Genomic DNA, 19,118 nt, shown 5'->3' with positions numbered 1-19,118 from the left:
AGCAGAGAAAAGTCATAATATTACAAGATAAAGTTGAATTGCTTGATATGCACCATAGATTGAGGTCTGAAGCTATAGATGCCCACCATGTCAGAGAGATCATTCATCTTGTAAACAGATGATACAAACTTACGGTATCAATAAATACAGTACAATACTATAAATGTAGTATCTCTTCCTTATAATTTTTAAAGTAATATTTTCTTTTCTCTGCCTTATTGTAAGAATACAGTATAGACATATAGCATACAAAATATGTGTTAAATATGTTATCAGTAAGGCTTCTGGTCAACAGTAGGCTATTAGTAGTTGTTTCTGGGAAGTCAAAAGTCATATGCAGATTTTTGACTATGCAGGGGGTCAGCACCCGTCACCCCCAGATTGTTCAGGGGGTCAACTGTATATGCATTCTAACAGGGTGGCTAAAGGAAAGGGAACAAAGGAAGAAGGGGCTAAATTGGGCAGGTGAACTAGGATCCCACCTTAGAAAACCTTGATGAGACAAAGAGGCCTGCATTGCTTCACAAAAGCAAAAGAAGTATCATAAGTTTTAAAAGTAGCAATCTGATAGGATAAAATGTTATTTTAGAAGGATAATTCTAGTGAGAAGAGGGAGGAAAAGATCCTAAAGGAAAGAGAAGTAGATGAGTTATCAGCAATCTAGGTTTAAAGTGATGAAAGCCTGTATAAATAAGGCAGCAACATGAGTGAAAGGAAGAAATAAGTGAGAGAGACCAATGGAGCCTCCTCTTCTGCCATCCCTGAATTATCTGTCATAGGCCCTTGTCGCATGCTAAATATTTTCTCATTTACTCCAAACCTTCAGGTATTTTCTCTACATATTGGTGACTCCCATATCTATATCTGTGGCCCTGAGGTTGCTTCTAAATTCCAGATATACATATCCATCGGCCTACAGGTCACATCTATTTGGAAATGTCACATATATGTAAAACTTAGCATGCCCCCAATTTTCTCCTTAACCTGGCTTCCTATAGCATCTCAGTCCATGACATCATCACCTAGCTGCTGAATTATAAACCTGAAGGTAATCCTTAAAACCTCTCTTTCACCCATCAACTTCTTTGCCAAGTCTTAGTGATTCTGACAGATAACTAAGCTAATGATTCGTAATTTTATCCAGCAATCAACACCCCCACAAATACCTAATCATTCTCTAAAACCCAAATTTACATTTTTACATCTCATTGTCACTTCTATTTCTTACCTGTCAACAACTCACTAAGTGATTTCCAAGATGAAGCCATAATTATCCGTAGAAAATACAAATCTGATCATGACTTTTCCTAGTATAAGACCATTCAAAATTTCCTGTTGCCCCCAAAGATCAAACCCTTTAGGATGAAATGTTATTATTTGGCACCTTTTCCCTTCTCCAACCTCACCTCCTGTATTAGTTTTCTACTGCTACTGTAACTAATTGTCATATATTTAGTAGCTTAATGCAAGACAAATTTATTTTTATTTTATTTTAAGTTCTGGGATACATGTACAGAACATGCATGTTTGTTACATAGGTATACATGTGTCATGGTGGTTCGCTGCACCTATTGACCCATCATCTACGTTTTAAGCCCCGCGTGCATTAGCTATTTATCCTAATGCTCTCCTCTCCCTTGCCCCTCAACCCGACAGACCCCGGTGTGTGATGTTCCCCTCCCGGTGTCCATGTGTTCTCACTGTTCAACTCCCACTTATGAGTGAGAACATGCAGTGTTTGGTTTTCTGTTCCTGTGTTAGTTTGCTGAGAATGATGGTTTCCAGCTTCATCCATGTCCCTGCAAATGACATGAACTTATTCTTTTTTATGGCTCCATAGTATTCCATGGTATATATGTGCCACATTTTCTTTATCCAGTCTATCATTGATGAGCATTTGGGTTGGTTCCAAGTCTTTGCTATTGCAATAAACACACATATGCATGTGTCTTTATAGTAAACACAAATTTATTATTTTACAGTTCTGGAGGTCAAAAGTCCAGAATGAGTCTCTTGGGGCTAAAATCATAATGTCTGCAGAGCTATGTTCTTTTTGCAGGTTATAAGGAAATAATCTATTTCTTGCCTTTTCCAGTTTCTAGAGGCTGTCATCATTCCTTGGACCTTGGCCATGTAACTAGTTTTGTAGTCATACTGTAGGCATATCTTCTTGTCTGACTACGACTTCTACCTTCCTCTTCCAGGTAAGAATACTTGTGAGTACAAGAGGTCCATGTGGATAATCCAGAACTATCTCCCCATCACAAAATCCTTAACATAGTCACATCTGCAAAATTCCTTTTGCTTTGTAATGGAACCTATTCACAGATGCCAGCAATTAGGGTGTAGACATATTTGGGGAGCCATTATTCTATCTACCATGCCTCTTTTCCTCTCTTTCCCTGATGACTAATGTAGTCTCCACTCCAGGTGTATAAGATAGAATCCTTCAAATAGTTCTTCAAATGTGCCACAGAATTTTTCACCCCAAGATCAGATGCACCTCCTCTGAAAAACTATGCTGTCTCAGGCCCTTCACCAGTGCAGTTGTAGTCATTCTTCACAACTCAGCCCACCTTTTGTCCTTTCCTCAACTGTCTAACATACTATGTCCCCTAAAATACCATAAAATTCCTCTGGAATGGGGTTCATCACCTCAATCATGAATGAATTCTCACTAATCTATCTTGCCAACCAGACTCTTAATTTCTTTTGAGGCAAATATTGTCATAGTCATCACTGTATCCTCAGTACCTAATATAATTTCTATGATATACTAAGCAACTAAATACGTATTTATTGAATGTTAACTCAAGAGATAATCAGAAAAATGCTTAAGAGCTGTGGGATTCCTCGAAAATTTCTACTATTTATTTCAGATGAACATTGATGATCTTCCTGAAAACCCACATTCAAGACTGCAATAGAAGTGAAGAAGTCTTTTCAAACTTATTTCTAGAGAAGACTCAGAAAACTTTATTGACTATCTCATGATCCAGTATTATGAACATTAAGAAATGATTCCTAAGGTCTCCAACTGAAGTGATTCTAGAGTCAAAAAAGGATATAGATTTATTATTTAAAAGAGAATACAGCATTACTAGAAAGTAGTGAGAAAATCATACCTCTTATAGGCCACCATTAGGAAGTATCCCTCATGGTAAGACCATGAAACAATGAGAGCTATGGTGTGAAGATGAGGATCCTTGATTACTAAGAGACACATAAGAAATTGTAACTGATTTTTGCTGAGGTTGATTCTATTTCTCATTAATTTAAATAACTATCAATCAACGTTCAAGGATGTCCACAAGATTGTAATTTCTCTCTATGGGTATTCCTGCTACAAAATCCATTTTTGGTGTAGTTTTAATATATACAAATTGTTACATAAATAACAAAAAAAAACAAAAAGAAGTTTCATTTTTCTGTAAGGCTTATAAATACATACAATGAGGTTTCTCGTTTTTTAAAAATCACTTGCAGATATCTTTTTAATGTCTTTGGTTTTTCTAACTTAAATCCTAGTATTTTGATGTCATTAAAATTCTTAGCATGCAAACTTAGTCTACATAAAATAGAATGTGGGACAAGCCTTTTGTGGCACAATTAAATCGTTCCCTTGAAGGACAAGGTAGCAGAAGGTGAACACTAATTTAATTAATATGATAAAGATAAATGGTGTTTTTTAAAGTGAAAACAAGTATGTCTGTTCTTGTATATCATTCTCACTTTTCAAATGGGTTAATACAGGGCTTTAATTTTCAAATAAGGAATATTAAATATTACACAAGATTGTGTCACCACTTTAATATCAGAGAGAAATCTCATCAAGGTGTCAAATAAATTTAATGGAAACAATTAGATATAGTTTGCCGTAGTATAAAATACAGATAAGCTGAATAAGAGTGCAACCAGAAATGTTTTCTATCTGTACTCAAAAACATTTATGAAGTTTCCGAAGAGCACTGTAACTACATGGAAAACTCACTTCAAATATAATTTAAAAATAGAAAGTAAATTACTGTACAAATAGAATTGAAACTGGATATATCTTATTTCCAAAGAGATGCCACACATAAATGTAAACAAAGCCCAACTCTGGAATCGTTAAAAGCCAAAATTTCTACATTATTCTGAAAATAGAATATGAGTCTTGTTTATATTTTTCAAATGTTATATTGGGCACTTCTTAGATGTCTAGATTTTTTCAAAAATAATATCAAGTATTTACTGAATGTATATTACACGTAAGACTCTGAGAGATACAAAAAAGTGAGTAAAAATATCCTTATTGCTCTCAAACACCTTTAATGGGCACGTCAGATATACAAAACTAACATAGTACAAGACTGAATAAATTAAATGCCATAACTACTTCAAAGATCAATGTAAGCTGAGGAAGAAGACTTTTTATGAGATGCTTTATGAGTATGTATGTCAACTAAAGGAGACTAATAATGAAGATGGAATAATGAAAATATCATCATGCGAGATGTTCTGCCTCAGAAGTGTATGTGAGCTGCAGGTAGGGACAGAGGGAGGAGACTACTAAGAATAAGGGGTTATGTGGGTTGAAGAGACCAGTCCAAGACAGAGGCCGAGAAGGTACCCTCTTCTCTCTGTCACACTCCTACTGCTCACAGACTCACCACACTCACTCCTTACCACCTCTCATCTGTCCCTCCATTCTGATAACCACTTTTCTTCTGCTTGAACTATAGAAGTACAAACACTAATAATCCTTGTATCAGAGTTCCTCTGTTCTTTTGGGGTTTATAGAATATCAAATGTGTCCTCAATGTCTAAGTTCAAAATCTAAAAAGCAAAACATTAAAGAAGATGGTGAACCTCCATTAAATTAAGTAATTTTGAACTGATAATTTATAAAATAAAATAAAATATTGGAAACATATTTTCAAAAGTGCAAAGCCTAAAGGGAAAAAAAACTTCAACAATTCATTACATCTTAATGTTTGTTTTCACTCAGCATGTGCATTCTCTACGAACCTGACTAAATATTAAACTGTTCAGGTATATAAATATCATGAGATATTTGTAAATGTCATATGTATAACCCTTGATATTCTGAGTTGTTTAAACTTTTTAATGTATTTAATGCTAATTTTTATTAATATTTTGATAAGTCTGGAGTCCTAGAATTTTACTATTCTATTCAGGAAAAATTGAAAATAGGGGGAAAATGCTGATGTAGAATGTTCTTTATTAAGCTGTGTTTTAATATTATAACCTTGGCTACATTTAAAGGATGCTAAAATCAACAACCTATGAGATCTGTTTCTAAACTTGTACAAAAATATTGTTGAGGACACTGTTATCTAAAATCCCAAGAGAGAAATTTCCCTTAGAACTTACTGGCAGTAAAATTTTGCTTTAAACAAATTAAAATCCTTCTTCCTTTCTAATCATGAAATTAGCTAACTCCTTTTCTGTAACAGCTTCCAGGAAGCTTACAGCTAAATTTTAAGCTCAACAAGGAAATTATACATAGGCCATTAGAAGCCTGTATTTTATTTACTATTTCTGAATTCCTACCATTACTTATTTTTCTCCAGTACTGAGAATTTCTTTCTTTCTTTCTGGGTTTTTTTTTTTTTTTTTTTTTTTTGAGACAGGTTCAAGTGATCCTCCATCTCAGCCTCCCAAAGTGCTGGGATTACAAGTGTGAGCCACTGAGCCTGGCCATTGTGTTTCTACTCCTATTTTAACATTATTATACTAGGAATTGGTTTTAGCTACACAAGTACTATTTGAAACATGGTAAAATGAACATTGATTTTTTTCTGTTAAGTGTGCCAATGAATTCCTTAACTTCTTCCCACAATTAAAAATCGGAATAGTTTCAATATTTTAGTGAGTTATGTATATATCTCACATATGAGGTATGAAGTATGTGGTATCACCATCATATTTAAGATGTGCTTATATCACATCCATCCTTTGCTTATAAACCTTTACCAGAATGGCATTTTCCATCACAATTCTGGTATTCAGGGCCTTCAAAAATCTGATTTTAACCTAAACTTTTCAGATTATTCACCTTTCCAAATCACCTGCTTCTGTCAAACTGATCTTGCCTGACTTAAAACAGGCCTAGAAATTTCCCATGTTTAGCTTCTCCTCTTATCAAATAATTTCCCTCCTCCTCCTTCTGCCTATTCTCAAGACCTACTTCAAGTTCATTTTCCTTTTTAAACCATTCCCAGCCAATTTTTTCCTCTCTTCTGAATTCCCGTAACACATACTGCGACTTTAGAAATAGCTTTTGTTGATTTTTAAAAATCCTTCATATAAATACTTTTCAAATTGAGGTTCAAGAAACCAACTTATTGGCTGTAAACACTTCTAAAAATAAAGTATAGGCTGGGCGCAGTGGCTCACGCCTGTAATCCCAGCACTTTGGGAGGCCGAGGCTGATGGATCATGAGGTCAGGAGATCAAGACCATGCTGGCTAACACGGCAAAACCCCGTCTCTACTAAAAAATACAAAAAAAAAATTAGCCAGGCATGGTGGCAGACGCCTGTAGTCCCAGCCACTTGGGAGGCTGAGGCAGGAGAATGGCGTGAACCTGAGAGGCAGAGCTTGCAGTGAGCCAAGATTGCGCCACTGCACTCCAGCCTGGGCAACAGAGTGAGACTCCGTCTCAAAAATAAATAAATAAAAATAAATAAATAAATCAAATAAATTAAATATAATGCAGCTCATTTAGGAAGCATAAAACAGTGTTTGGAAAACTTGTTTTAGTTACGCACACACATAAATATCAATACTCTCAAGTTTGTGTGTCCTGAGTCTTAAACTACAATGCGATTTCTTCATATAAATTATGGGAAAAATAGTTTTTAAAACATTGCTCTATAGTGTTCTACAAAACATTAGCATGTAATATAATTTTAGAAAATGTTCATATTACAAACATAGTAACATGTTCAATGAAAAACGTTTTTAAACTGCCCCAAATCACCCATTACTACTCCACTCTAAGGTAATCATAATTAATATCCTGGAATATAGCCTTCCAACTTTTTCCATGTATTTGGATATCTATACTTTATTTAATAAAAATCAGATAAATACCATAATGCTATTTTATAAACTGCTTTTCCTACTTTAACAATATATAGCATGAATATTTTGTCTTCTTATCAATAATTTCTCAATAAAGCATCATCCTAAAAATTTATATTTGCTTGAGGACAGGTGCCATGTTTTCAATATTTCTTAATCTTACCTTTTGAATAGGTAATACATTCACAGTGTTCAAAAAAATTAAAATGTAAAATATAACAAGTAAAAAGTTTCCCCTAAACCTCTGCTTTCAATTTCAACCACCTCCCCAAACATGTAATCTGTTATTGTTTATTGTATTATTTTTAAGTTTCTTTATCACATAAAAGCAAAATCAGACTTATAATCATACTCCTACCCTTTTTATATAAAAGGTAACAACATAACCTAAACTGTTTGCAGCTTAGTTCTTTGTATTAACAATGTCTCTTGGAGCTCTCCCCAGTCAGTACATATAGAACTTCCTCATTCACAGTACTCCACTGGATAGGGTACTATAATTTATTTAACTAGCCCCTAATGGTGAAAATTTCAATGATTTCCAGTTTCCTAATATTACAAACAATGCTGCAGTGACTAACCTTGGAATGACACAACTTCATACATGCATAGAACTAAAGGATAAGTTGTAAAAGTGTTATTGCTGAATCAAAGATATATACATTTTACAGTTTTGACAGATTCTGCCAAAATGCCTTCTATAGTGGTTTTTCATGTTGTTGTTGAGAATTTATACTTTCAACAGCAAAGTATCAAAGAGCATTTTTATCCACATCTTTGTCAAGACACTGTTATTAAATTTTAAATTTATGCTAATCTAATAGGTGAATAAATATATTTTTATTTTTCCTTTATTTTACTGAGAATGGGGCAAATCAACTTTAATATATTTAAAATCATTTGTATTTCTATTTTCTAAAGTAGCCCCATATCCATTGCCAATATTTTTATTTGGTTGTCCTTATCCATTTCTAGTAGCACACTGTATATTGAAGAGATTCACCCTTTTGTGGTATGAGTTTGTATTGATTATATTAACAAGTATTTTAATTATTTATTATTTTCTAAAAGCAACTATTATATACATATTATATTTTTCCCTTTTCTAATTCATTCCTTTATGCTTTTAGTTTTATTACTTCCATTCTTCCATATTCCTTTGATTTGATTGTGGGTTTGATTTTCCTCGTTTTGGGTGAGATGATGAACTCATTTATTTCATGCTTTTTATTTTATTAATACAAGTACTTAAGGCTCTGAATTTTCCTCCAAGGGCAGTTTTGGCTATATTAATTAACATATCACATAAATTTTTATTTCCTTCATCCCTTTCTCACATCCATTTTTGTAAGCAAGGAATACAGCCTTAGAATTTAAGGGTACATTCTTCACATTCAGCAGGTAATTTTTTTTCTTTTTTTGAGATGGAGTCTCCTCTCTCTGTGGCCCAGGCTAGAGGGCAGTGGCATGATCTTGGCTCACTGCAACCTCCGCCTCCCAGGTTCAAGCAATTGTCCTGCCTCAGCCTCCTAAATAGTTGGGATTACAGGCATGCGCCACCAGGCCCAGCTAATTTTTGTATTTTTAGTAGAAAAAGCATTTTGCCATGTTGGCCAGGCTTGTCTCGAACTCCTGACCTCAAGTGATACCTGCCTTTGCCTCCCAAAGTGCTGGGATTACAGGCCTGAGCCACTGTGCCCGGCCACTTTTAGCAGGTAATTTTTGTTGGAGGTGGTAAAATACATTGCAGCTTGTTTCTCTGATTATATCTTCTCTTAACTTTATTATTATGTGATTTCTCCACAATCTATGTGATAGCAGCAAGAGGCAGACAAACGCCTAGGCAGATAGGGGCAGGTCCCCAGTGAAACCCCAACTCCAAGCCAAAACCTCCAGGCTTTTTCAGTTTAAAGCCAGAAAGCCAAGCCACAAGTCAAACTATGGACTACATTGAGAGCCTGTCTTCCCATTTGGCACACTTTCCCCACCTTTCACCTGTTTTACTCATACCTACCCTTTCCTAATTGTTTTTTTTTTTTTTTTTTTTTTTTGAGACGGAGTCTCGCTTTGTCGCCCAGGCCAGAGTGCAGTGGCACAATCTTGGCTCACTACAGCCTCCACCTCCCGGGTTCAAGCGATTCTCCTGCCTTAGCCTCCTAGGTAGCTGGGGTTACAGGTGCCCACCACCACACCCAGCTAATTTTTGTATTTTTAGTAGAGAGGGTTTCACCATATTGGCCAAGCTGGTCTCAACCTCCTGATCTTAGGAGATTCATCCACCTCGGCCTCCCAAATTGCTGAGATTACAGGTGTAAGCCACCGTGCCTGGCGTCATAATTGGTTTTTCACACTGTCATGCCCAACTTTCAGTGGTGCCTTTCTTTTAACCTTTTCTGCATACTCACAAACCAATCAGCACACACTCCCCTATTCTGAGCCCATAGAAGTCCCAGACTTAGCCACACTGGGAGAGAAACCAGCTGACTCAGGATAGCTGACCACTCTCATGTCCCCTCTCTGCTGAGAGCCGTTTTGTTGCTCAATAAAATTATTCTCTGCCCTCATCACCCTTCAATTGTCAGTGTATCCTTATTCTTCTTGGACGCAGGACAAGAACTTGGAAACAGTTGAATGTGATACCAACTATAACACAGGCGGGCTGAGCTGGTGCATAAGCCAGGGTTGGCCCGGGCAGGCCAAGTGAGCAGGCCACCTGTTGCAGCAAGTAAAGTGGCTGTGTGAGGCCTAGGTGGGGGCATCACTGGCTGAAGGTCCGTGGCTTACAAAGTGACTGAGAAAAATCATGTGTCATAAGGTGCTTTGGGCTACTTTATGATATACTCTGAAGTCCCTGTTTCATGAAAAATGCAGTTTACGAGTTTTCCAATTTTTGTTGTTTTTGTTCTATGGCTTTGTTTGTTCTATGTTTGTTCAATGTTACTGTGTATGTTACTCTTTGTTACTGTTCTATGGCTTCCAACAAGAAATGGGGGAGGGGAGAATTATACATTATACATCCATGTTCATATCAGAAATATTGTACATTTTGTTGTACATTTCTACAAAAGTACATTTGTAGAAATGCTTTCCAAAGTCCATGCATATAGAAAGTATAATAAATACTTGGCCAGGCGCAGTGGCTCACGCCTGTAATCCCAGCACTTTGGGAGGCTGAGGTGGGTGGATCATGAGGTCACGAGTTCGAGACCAGCCTGAGCAACATGATGAAACCCCGTCTCTACTAAAAACACAAAAGTTAGCCCGGCGTGGTGGCACGTGCCTGTAATCCCAGCTACTCAGGAGGCTGAGGCAGGAGAATTGCTTGAACCCAGGAGGTGGAGGTTGCAGTGAGCTGAGATCATGCCACTGCACTCCAGCCTGAGCAAAAGAGCAAAACTCCATCTCAAAAAAAAAAAAAAAAAGAAAAGAAAAAGGAAGTATAATAAATACTTTAAAATGATGAAATGGTGAATATCAGGCAATGTTTGTGCTATAAATATCAAATCCTGCCTTTCAATTTGCATTAAAAAATTCCAATGACTTATTCTTTTAATAGACCTTACCTGCCTATGCCCATTTCCCTTCAAATATTTATAAAGTAGGCAAAAAAAATGTATAGAAGTAATTACTGAAAACCTGGCTCTTCTGACTAAAAACATAATGATATTTAAGAAAGTCTGAGGTAGGCTTATGGATGTGAAACTTTTGAAGTATCATTTATGGAACATCAGTGGTTTCTAAAGTCTATTACTTTTTTGATACTAGCATTGCTTTTCCTCAAAATATCTGCTGGTAGAGGATGAGAGTTTTAAAAATCAGTCTGGGTGTTATTAAATATATGTACCATGGTAGGGTTCTTTTATATTATTAAGTAGATCAAGCCTAAAGTCCAATCTTAATTTAACTTTGCAGACTATACTAAGTAGTGACTATATAGTCAAATATCACCCTGTATTTCCCTTAGCACAACACGCTTATAGTCTCTGCTAGACTTTCATGTGGGTTGGGGACATAGCTGTTAAGTTCACTTATATCCTGGTGCTAAAATATTGGAGTATAGAAAAAATTTTTGTTAAGCTATTGACATTAATCAGATAGTAGAGATTATGATTTATGCTAGCTGGAGTTGTAATTAAAAGATGATGAATAGAACAGAATCCCTTTCAGGTAACAACTCTGAAACTTACAGTAAATTTGATTTAGGGTAAATTATAATGTCTGAGTTTCCTTACCTAATAATGGGGATAATATTAATAATCAAATTCACAGTTGTTGAAAAGATTTAATAAAATAATAGAGGTAGAGTATTCTCAACAGTACTCAAGTGTTTTTTTTCCTTCTTTCACAATTTAAAATGCTCCAAATTTTCCTTCTGTTAATTATTTATCTGTCCTGCGAAAAATGCTTTCAAACAAAAACTATACGCTATTTTGCAGTTTCCACCATATAACTACAGAGATTTTCACACATGATTTTTATAACAAGTGAGGTTATTGTAGGCCACAGATGAAGTTAGAAGGCTGGCTTGCCTAAGAAGATGTGGCTGATAATAGTGAAAACTGGGATTTAAAAATGGATTCTCTGTGCTCAAATCCAAGACCGACATGGAGATTTATATATTCCTGATAAATTTCCTAAAAAGAACATTTTGTAATTTTTTTGTGCTCTTCACTCTCAATAGACCTAATTAATTGATTTAAAAAAGCCAATTAAATAGAAACCTTAACAGTGAGTATTCCAGTTCAGAACGTTTTTTTCAAACTGTGAGTTTCCATGCCTGGAAATCCAATTTGATATTTAATTATCTAATTTTAAAGAGCTAAAAATAAAGATCACTCTTATGTCTTTTCAAATGTTCGACACACAGCAATTTTTGAAAAGCCCATACAAGTGACAGCATAAAATGATTAACTGCAAAAGCACAGCTAACTAGATGCCTCCAAAAATAATGTTACTGGGAAAAAAGTTCTTAGAAATAAAAACATGGAATTTACTGTAATTTATTTGGATGGCCTATTCTACTAAATATACTCCCTTGAAATTCACTACCAGTATTAAACATAAATCTTTTGTTTCAAGAGACCCACTATGAAAACTTGTAAAATTTTATGCTGAATTTCTACTCAAATGATGTGAATTTCTTAAATTATACAAAGAAAAACTGGCCTTTTAAGATGATATGTATTAATTATTAAATTAATCCAAATCTGCGCTCATCTCCCATCACTCTCCCTTTTGACCACTCTGCTTCAGCCATACTAACCTCTGTAGTTCTTCAATCACACCAGCAAACACTCTTCCCCAGGTACACAAGGAGAATAGACAGTCAGTAAACACCTCTACGGCTCTTCGAATTGTTTGCTGCTGGCATCTGTTCTGATAGGTTGGTACACATGCTGTACTAACTGCTGAACACTTTCACCATTACCCCTTTATACAACCACACAGATAACTCCCTGTTTCCATTTACGTCTCTGTCCAAAATTCATTAGGAGGCTTTCTTTGATAATATTTAAAAAATTAGCCCTCTCTATGCACATACACACACACTACCTAAACACTGTCCTCAACACAGTCTAGAACTTCATTATCTCCTTACCCTACTTCATTTTCATAACATTTATTCGCTCTAACATAATAAAGAACATAGCACAGAGTGAGTACTAAGTAAATATTTACTAAATGAATACTGAATCACATATATTTTTCATTCCTTTCTTAAAAAATTAAATTATTTTAAAAATTACACAATAGCTCTTAATGAATTGAAGAACATGGATATAGACTTAAGGAAAAGGAAGACTGATTTCATAAAATGATGAATTGGTAAGACATCAACATATCAAAAACTATATTATAAGCCTCTATAAAATGAAAATTACTAAACAGTAATATTGGAAAAGGCAAGCTATATCAGATGTAAGATAAAATGGTCTTTACATCATCTAAAACTAACAATGTAAACAGCGCTTAAAGTGCAGTTTCTTCTCTTAAAAACTGTCCTTTGCAGTGTCTGATAATCATGAATGTTGCTGCCATGAACCTGTCTCCCCAGGACAAGTCAGTAGTTTCAGACACAGACTTACTCTCCTCTCACAAATCTAACTCTAATATTCTGACAATCTATATGACATTCTGGTAAAAAGCTACAATTACAATTACTTAATTTAAGCTGGTTGTCTAAGGTTCAAATTAATTGCCCTCTGCCTATCTAACGTACATTTTGTTTTTTGTTTTGTTTTGTTTTTTGAGATGGAGTTTCACTCTGTTGCCCAGGCTGGAGTGCAGTGGCACAATCTCAGCTCACTGCAACCTCTGCCTCCCAGATTCAAGTGATTCTCCTGCCTCAGCCCCCCAAGTAGCTGGGATTATAGGTGTGTGCCACCACACCTGGCTAATTTTTGTATTTTTAGTAGAGACGGGGTTTCACTTGTTAGTCAGGCTGGTCTTGAACTCCTTACCTCAAGCAATCCGCCCACCTCAGCCTCCCAAAGTCCTGGGATTACAGGCACGAGCCACTGCACTTGGCCTAATCTACATTTAATCATAAATGTTTTTGCTTTACCTTCGATTCAGAAAGCGATTTCTTACTTAAAAACATCTAAATATGAAGAAATATTAAACTTAACAAAGCAAATATCTTCCAAAAGTGTCATTTAAATGTTAAACTAGATGTCTTTCTTAAATATATTTGACCAATCCCTATATTTTAGCTCAAATCCTAGCTTTCCCTACCCAATATTGCTGTTCAGTAATTTTTCTTTTATAGAAACAAATAGTTTTTGATATATTAAAATCTTGTTCAAGTTAATATTTTATAGAATGAAAGAGATTTCCTCTTCCTTAAACTCACATTCATATTAATTAAACAGTTTATTTTAGCCTCTAAAACTTAGACTCTACAATCTGGAAAAATATATAGTGGTTAAGAATGTGGGCTCAAACTCCAGATCTGCCTCTTAACCAGTTCTGTTTTCTTGGGGAATTCATTTACCATTTTAATCTTTAGCTCTTCATTCATAATATTTTATAGCAATAACAGCAACAATAATATTATATGAGATTAACAACAATTCTTATTAATATTTTATAGGAATATGTGAGGTTAAATGAGATAATGTGTATAAAAAGGTCAGCAATTACCTGGGCTCCTAGCCATTGCTCAGTGAATTCAATCCTCTAACAAATATTTATTGAATGTTACCCTGGGTCAGCACTCTTCGAGACACTGGAAATACACTACACTAATTGTTAAATACAACTGTGACCCTATTGAAGTTATTTTACTTGGGAGAGACAAATGATTAAAAATACATCATATAATATAATGTCACTTAAATGTTAGCATGACAAAGAGAAATAAAGGCAGAAGAAGGGGGAGCAAAAGGGCTTGATGTGTTATTTTATACATGGTAGTCAGACAAGGCCTCCCTGATGAAGTGACATTTGAGTAGAAACTGAATTAAGTAAAGAACAGGTCATATACATGTCCAACTTGTTTGCTAATGTAAGAATGATGATAACGGGTGATTAATAACCCCTCTTTACAAAAATTTCTTCCATCTTCCATATGTTTACACAAGCTCTGAAGGCAGTGCAGGAAAAATCAGGGAGAGGGATGGGTGGCTCAGGCACCCACTAGTTTTCATAAAGTGAGAAAGTTAAACAATTTAATCCTGTCTAGTTTTCGGTACCTCTGAGTGAATGTGCATAAAAATGTGAAGGTAAGGAAGAGATTACTTTGGCCATTCTGTCCTCAAGTTAGGCATTATGATGATAAACATATTTTTATGGGTAGGAGCAGAGATAAATGGGAAGAGAAATAAATGGGAAATAGAAATTACAATGAACTAAAGTGGAATTCTTTAGGCTAAAAATGAAGTCTAGCAAGACAGAAATTAAATATTTTACAGCACATTATATAATCAAAGACATTTACTTTTCACACAAATTAAATCAAGAAATAGATTCAGTTATAAGAGTACAAATAATTCAAAGGAAGATAAGTAACAGATACTACCACCATAACAAATCCATATCAATTTGTTATGTACTCATAGTTGAAAATTATCTAACTCAAAGCTTCTGCTTTGTGATTTTCTTTTAAAAGAGCAACATGAACCTTTAAATCAGTGTATAATATTTGCAACAAACTGAGATAATGATTTGCATATTTCAAATACCAGTACTTTAGATTAGGTTAATACCCAGATAAACTTTAAATTTCTACCTCATATAAAAAATCACATATAACGATTTAATTTCTACAGCATCCAGTATATATTTATTTTCATAGCTAGTTCTATCAGATGGTGAGATAATCAATTCCAAAGTGTTGGGGGTTGGAAAAACAATAATTAACCATGTAATAGTCCAGAGAATCTAATCTATTATCAAAGTTTTATAGCAAATTTTATATTATAAGGGGTATAGCTTTATTTGAAATTTTGTATTCCTAGTCAAACTCATACCTGCGTTGTTATTTCTTTCTTTTATAGATTTGGTCTCCCAATTTAGACCTGGCTAAGCCTGTAGACAATGCAAACATTTGGTTGACTTGTGAAATGGGACATCAGTATCTCTGAAATCCTATTTGTATATTTTGTTAACCTAATCTGGATAAAAAATATCTTCCTGCACTGAATTTTATTCATACTGATATATACTGGAATTGATGTTCATACTTCCACATGAATAATTAAGCATACAAAACACTTTATTTAGAGACAGGGTCTCACTCTGCTGCCTAGGCTGGAGTGCAGTGGTACAATCACAGCTCACTACAGTCTCAACCTCCCGGGCTCAAGCAATCCTCCCATCTCAGCCCCCCAAGTAGCTGGGACTACAGGCATGTGCCACTACCCCCAGCTAACTTTTGTATTTTTAAGAGATATATACTTAATTGTAACCTAGAGTGTTAGAGGGAGGGCAGTGATGTAAAAGAAAGAGATGTCAAAGAAGACCCCTCAATTTATGACTTGAGAAGCTGGGTATTTGGTGGCATCACTTGTTTAAAAAGAAACAACAAATTTTGAAGTTAAAGGTGATAAGCACAGTTTGAGGTGGAAATTTGAACAATTTCAGTTTTGGAAAATAGAAATCTGAGTTATAAATATAAATTTGCAAATTGTTGATATATAAATAGTAAATAAAGCCATGAGAATAGATTGCTTTGACTAAAGAGAAAATATCTTAGAATTCTATAACAGCATTCATTTACAGATGAAGGAGGAAATATTGAAAGATTTATATATATATATATTTTGCTATAGAAAAAATGTGACAACCTATTTCAGGCTGAAGAAGAATTTTTTATGGTTTTGGTAATTAAGGGTAGAAAATGAATAAAAAAATTTAACAAAGAATGAGCCAATTTCATAATTATAGAAAACTGTTCAAGAAAGCCAGTTCCTTAACCAGAGAATTAGAATGTTTAACAAACAACTGTTAAAATCTTCTGTGAGAGAAATATTAAAGGTCACCCTCTCAGTGAAGACTCAGTAGTACAATAAAAGTACAAATATAGATATTATATCCCAGATTAACAAAAGGAAATAAAATACTTGTTTTTTAAATTTCCAAATCACTAAATCCAGACTAGGTACCAGCATTCTTGGAACTGGCACTTACTTCAAATTAAAAGCAATCCCTAAATGTATAAAAGTCATATCAACAAATATTAATCTACCAAGTTGTGTGGCTTTCCTATTTCTACGCTGTTCTTCATATTAGACAGTCCTGAAAGGAAAGAGCTCTTGCCAATACCAACCCAACTCCTGAAACATCAAAAGTGATCAGAAACTAAGCCAGTTCCATTATTCCACTTCAGTTTAAGTCCCAAAGATTTTACCTTTAAAACACAAAACTTCCACATACCCATACTTTATTGAACAAATCTTGTAAAGCACATGTAAGTAGTGTTTTCTGTGATAGATCATAGAGGTAAAAATGACCTAAGACAATCTCTTATCCAACCACCTTGCTCCACATAGATAAGTTTCTGATTTACTGCTTCTGTGAAGAGTAGACTAATTTTTAATAGTTCCAATATCTTATAATACATTGTAAATGTAACATCCCAAATTAAAACCCTAATTTATTCCTAACTGCTAGACATTTTCTTTGACTTATACAACTTAGAATCTGTTATAACCTGAACCTTTCAAAGTATGAACCTTATAAAGTGAAGAAAAGCCTCAAGTCTGAAGAAAAACTAGGAAAGGGGAAAAAAAACCAAGCCATCTGTATACTAGCAAATACTGAATAAGAAAGCAGCTCATCTTAATAAAATCAAGGAAGTTTCATGTTTCAATTGCATTAGTAATAAAAGCTAGAAAAACAAAAACAAAACTTTTTTTCTGAACTACTAGCATATAACCTAAGAATTTTATTTACTGTTGGAAATGTTAACTCACCAAAAATTCTTTTAAAACAAACAGACAAAAAAGTATATAAGCACCTACCTTAGGAATAGGATTCAGCAGAACTACACCTGATTTCTTAGTGATGACCTGTTTTGTTGTATAGTGATGATCTATAAGTTGAGGAATGTTTGAAAACCCAGTGCCCTCGAATCGATACATGTTCTGGAGAGAGAACAATAAGGTAGAATAAATGTGAAGACATTGCTTTAGAAAATCTACATTCATTGATAAATTAGATTCCTTTCTTAAAAAAACTATAATTGCACAACAATGTGAATATACTTAACACTACTGAACTATACCCTTAAAAATGGTTAAGATGATAAAAATATAAATAGATAAATAAAACTCTGACATGTTTTAAAATTCTACCTTGTGACAGATAAATCAATTTTCACAATGTTTAAATCTAATTCAAATTGTTGAAAAATAAAAAATCTAACAAACAGACCTGAAATGCATTTTGCTAAAATGCTAACCAAAGGAAACAAAGCATGGGATACACCTGAGTTACTGGACAAGATACATGTTTACATATGTCTACATATGTGTTCCATTTGATAAAACTTTCAATATCAAAAATGTCAAAAATATAAGGAAAGATATCCAATCTGATGGTAAATATTTTAATACATCTGATCATTTATTTTCTATCTGCTGATACAGTATTAGTTTGCTTTCTGTAGTGGAGTATTCATTTATTATTAATTACCAAAAACACTCATTCACACATCTTGGATAAAGAAATAAAATGCAACAGTGACAAAACTGTAGATATCAACACGCTCAAATCTTAGCATTTTTTAATTGCATATCACCAGGTAAGGTGCAATTTTCCTCAAACTCCTCCAAGACCGCTTTTCTCTTGTTTTCATATTTCAAATTGGCCTATGAGTAGGTTGTCATATGGATAAATTGATAGCAATAAACCTGGCAAATCAAAAATACCCTATTGGCCATATTTTTCAAAGCAAGAAGCATTGCAATGCAATGTAACAAAAGCTTCCAACTGCTAGTTCTCATACCCAGGAAGATATATACAAATACAGATATGGGAGTACCCCCATTTTAAGAAAATGCTGTGAAGAAATAAGAACTTTCGAAACTGACTAAATTCTGACATTACTTGCATTACTGGAAGATTACTTTCCCAGCTGAAAGTTTAAAAACTCAAAGCTCTTTTTCCATACTATAAAATAAAAAAGATTGAATGTATCAAAATTTAATTTATATAAAACTTTTTAAATGAATATTTGTTTCATTGAGTAATGAACAAACACGCATTAGTTTACTTTAACACTTAACTATGGAGAATAAATCAACTCAAGGGCAGTTAGTGTTTGAATCAGTTCAAAGCAGTTGTTAATTCACTGCCTAAAGAACTTTTGTACATAGTAGGCAGACCTCCTATGATATATTAGCACTGATCCTTAAGAATATTTCACACTGAAGGTACTAACCTATTTCTAATAATATATGTTTCTAGGTGTGCAAAACACTGAGAAAGATCTCTCAGTGTCTCAGCTTATTCCTTAGTGAAACAGAGATAATATTTGTACCTCCTCACAGAGTAAAAGAGTTGAATAACTATTAACATGCAAAC

General features: G+C 34.3%; 1 protein-coding gene across 22 annotated transcripts in view; it reads right to left on the bottom strand.

The window, feature by feature from the left end:
• The window catches only part of FER (FER tyrosine kinase), a 448,945-nt gene that overhangs the window by 219,940 nt on the left and 209,887 nt on the right, over positions 1-19,118 (bottom strand). For all 22 annotated transcript variants that reach the window (NR_146155.2, XR_007058589.1, XR_007058591.1 and 19 more), the window contains one exon: positions 17,555-17,677. Coding sequence is in view for 18 of the 22 variants with exons in the window: in NM_005246.4 (NP_005237.2) it covers positions 17,555-17,677 (123 nt within the window). In the remaining 4 variants the exon portion in view is untranslated. The remainder of the gene's footprint in view (positions 1-17,554; positions 17,678-19,118) is intronic.

Source organism: Homo sapiens, chromosome 5, assembly GCF_000001405.40.
Source record: "Homo sapiens chromosome 5, GRCh38.p14 Primary Assembly".
Classification (NCBI taxonomy): Eukaryota; Metazoa; Chordata; class Mammalia; order Primates; family Hominidae; genus Homo; species Homo sapiens.
Note: the sequence above shows the minus strand (reverse complement) of the source record. Positions and strands in the feature narration are given on the sequence as shown.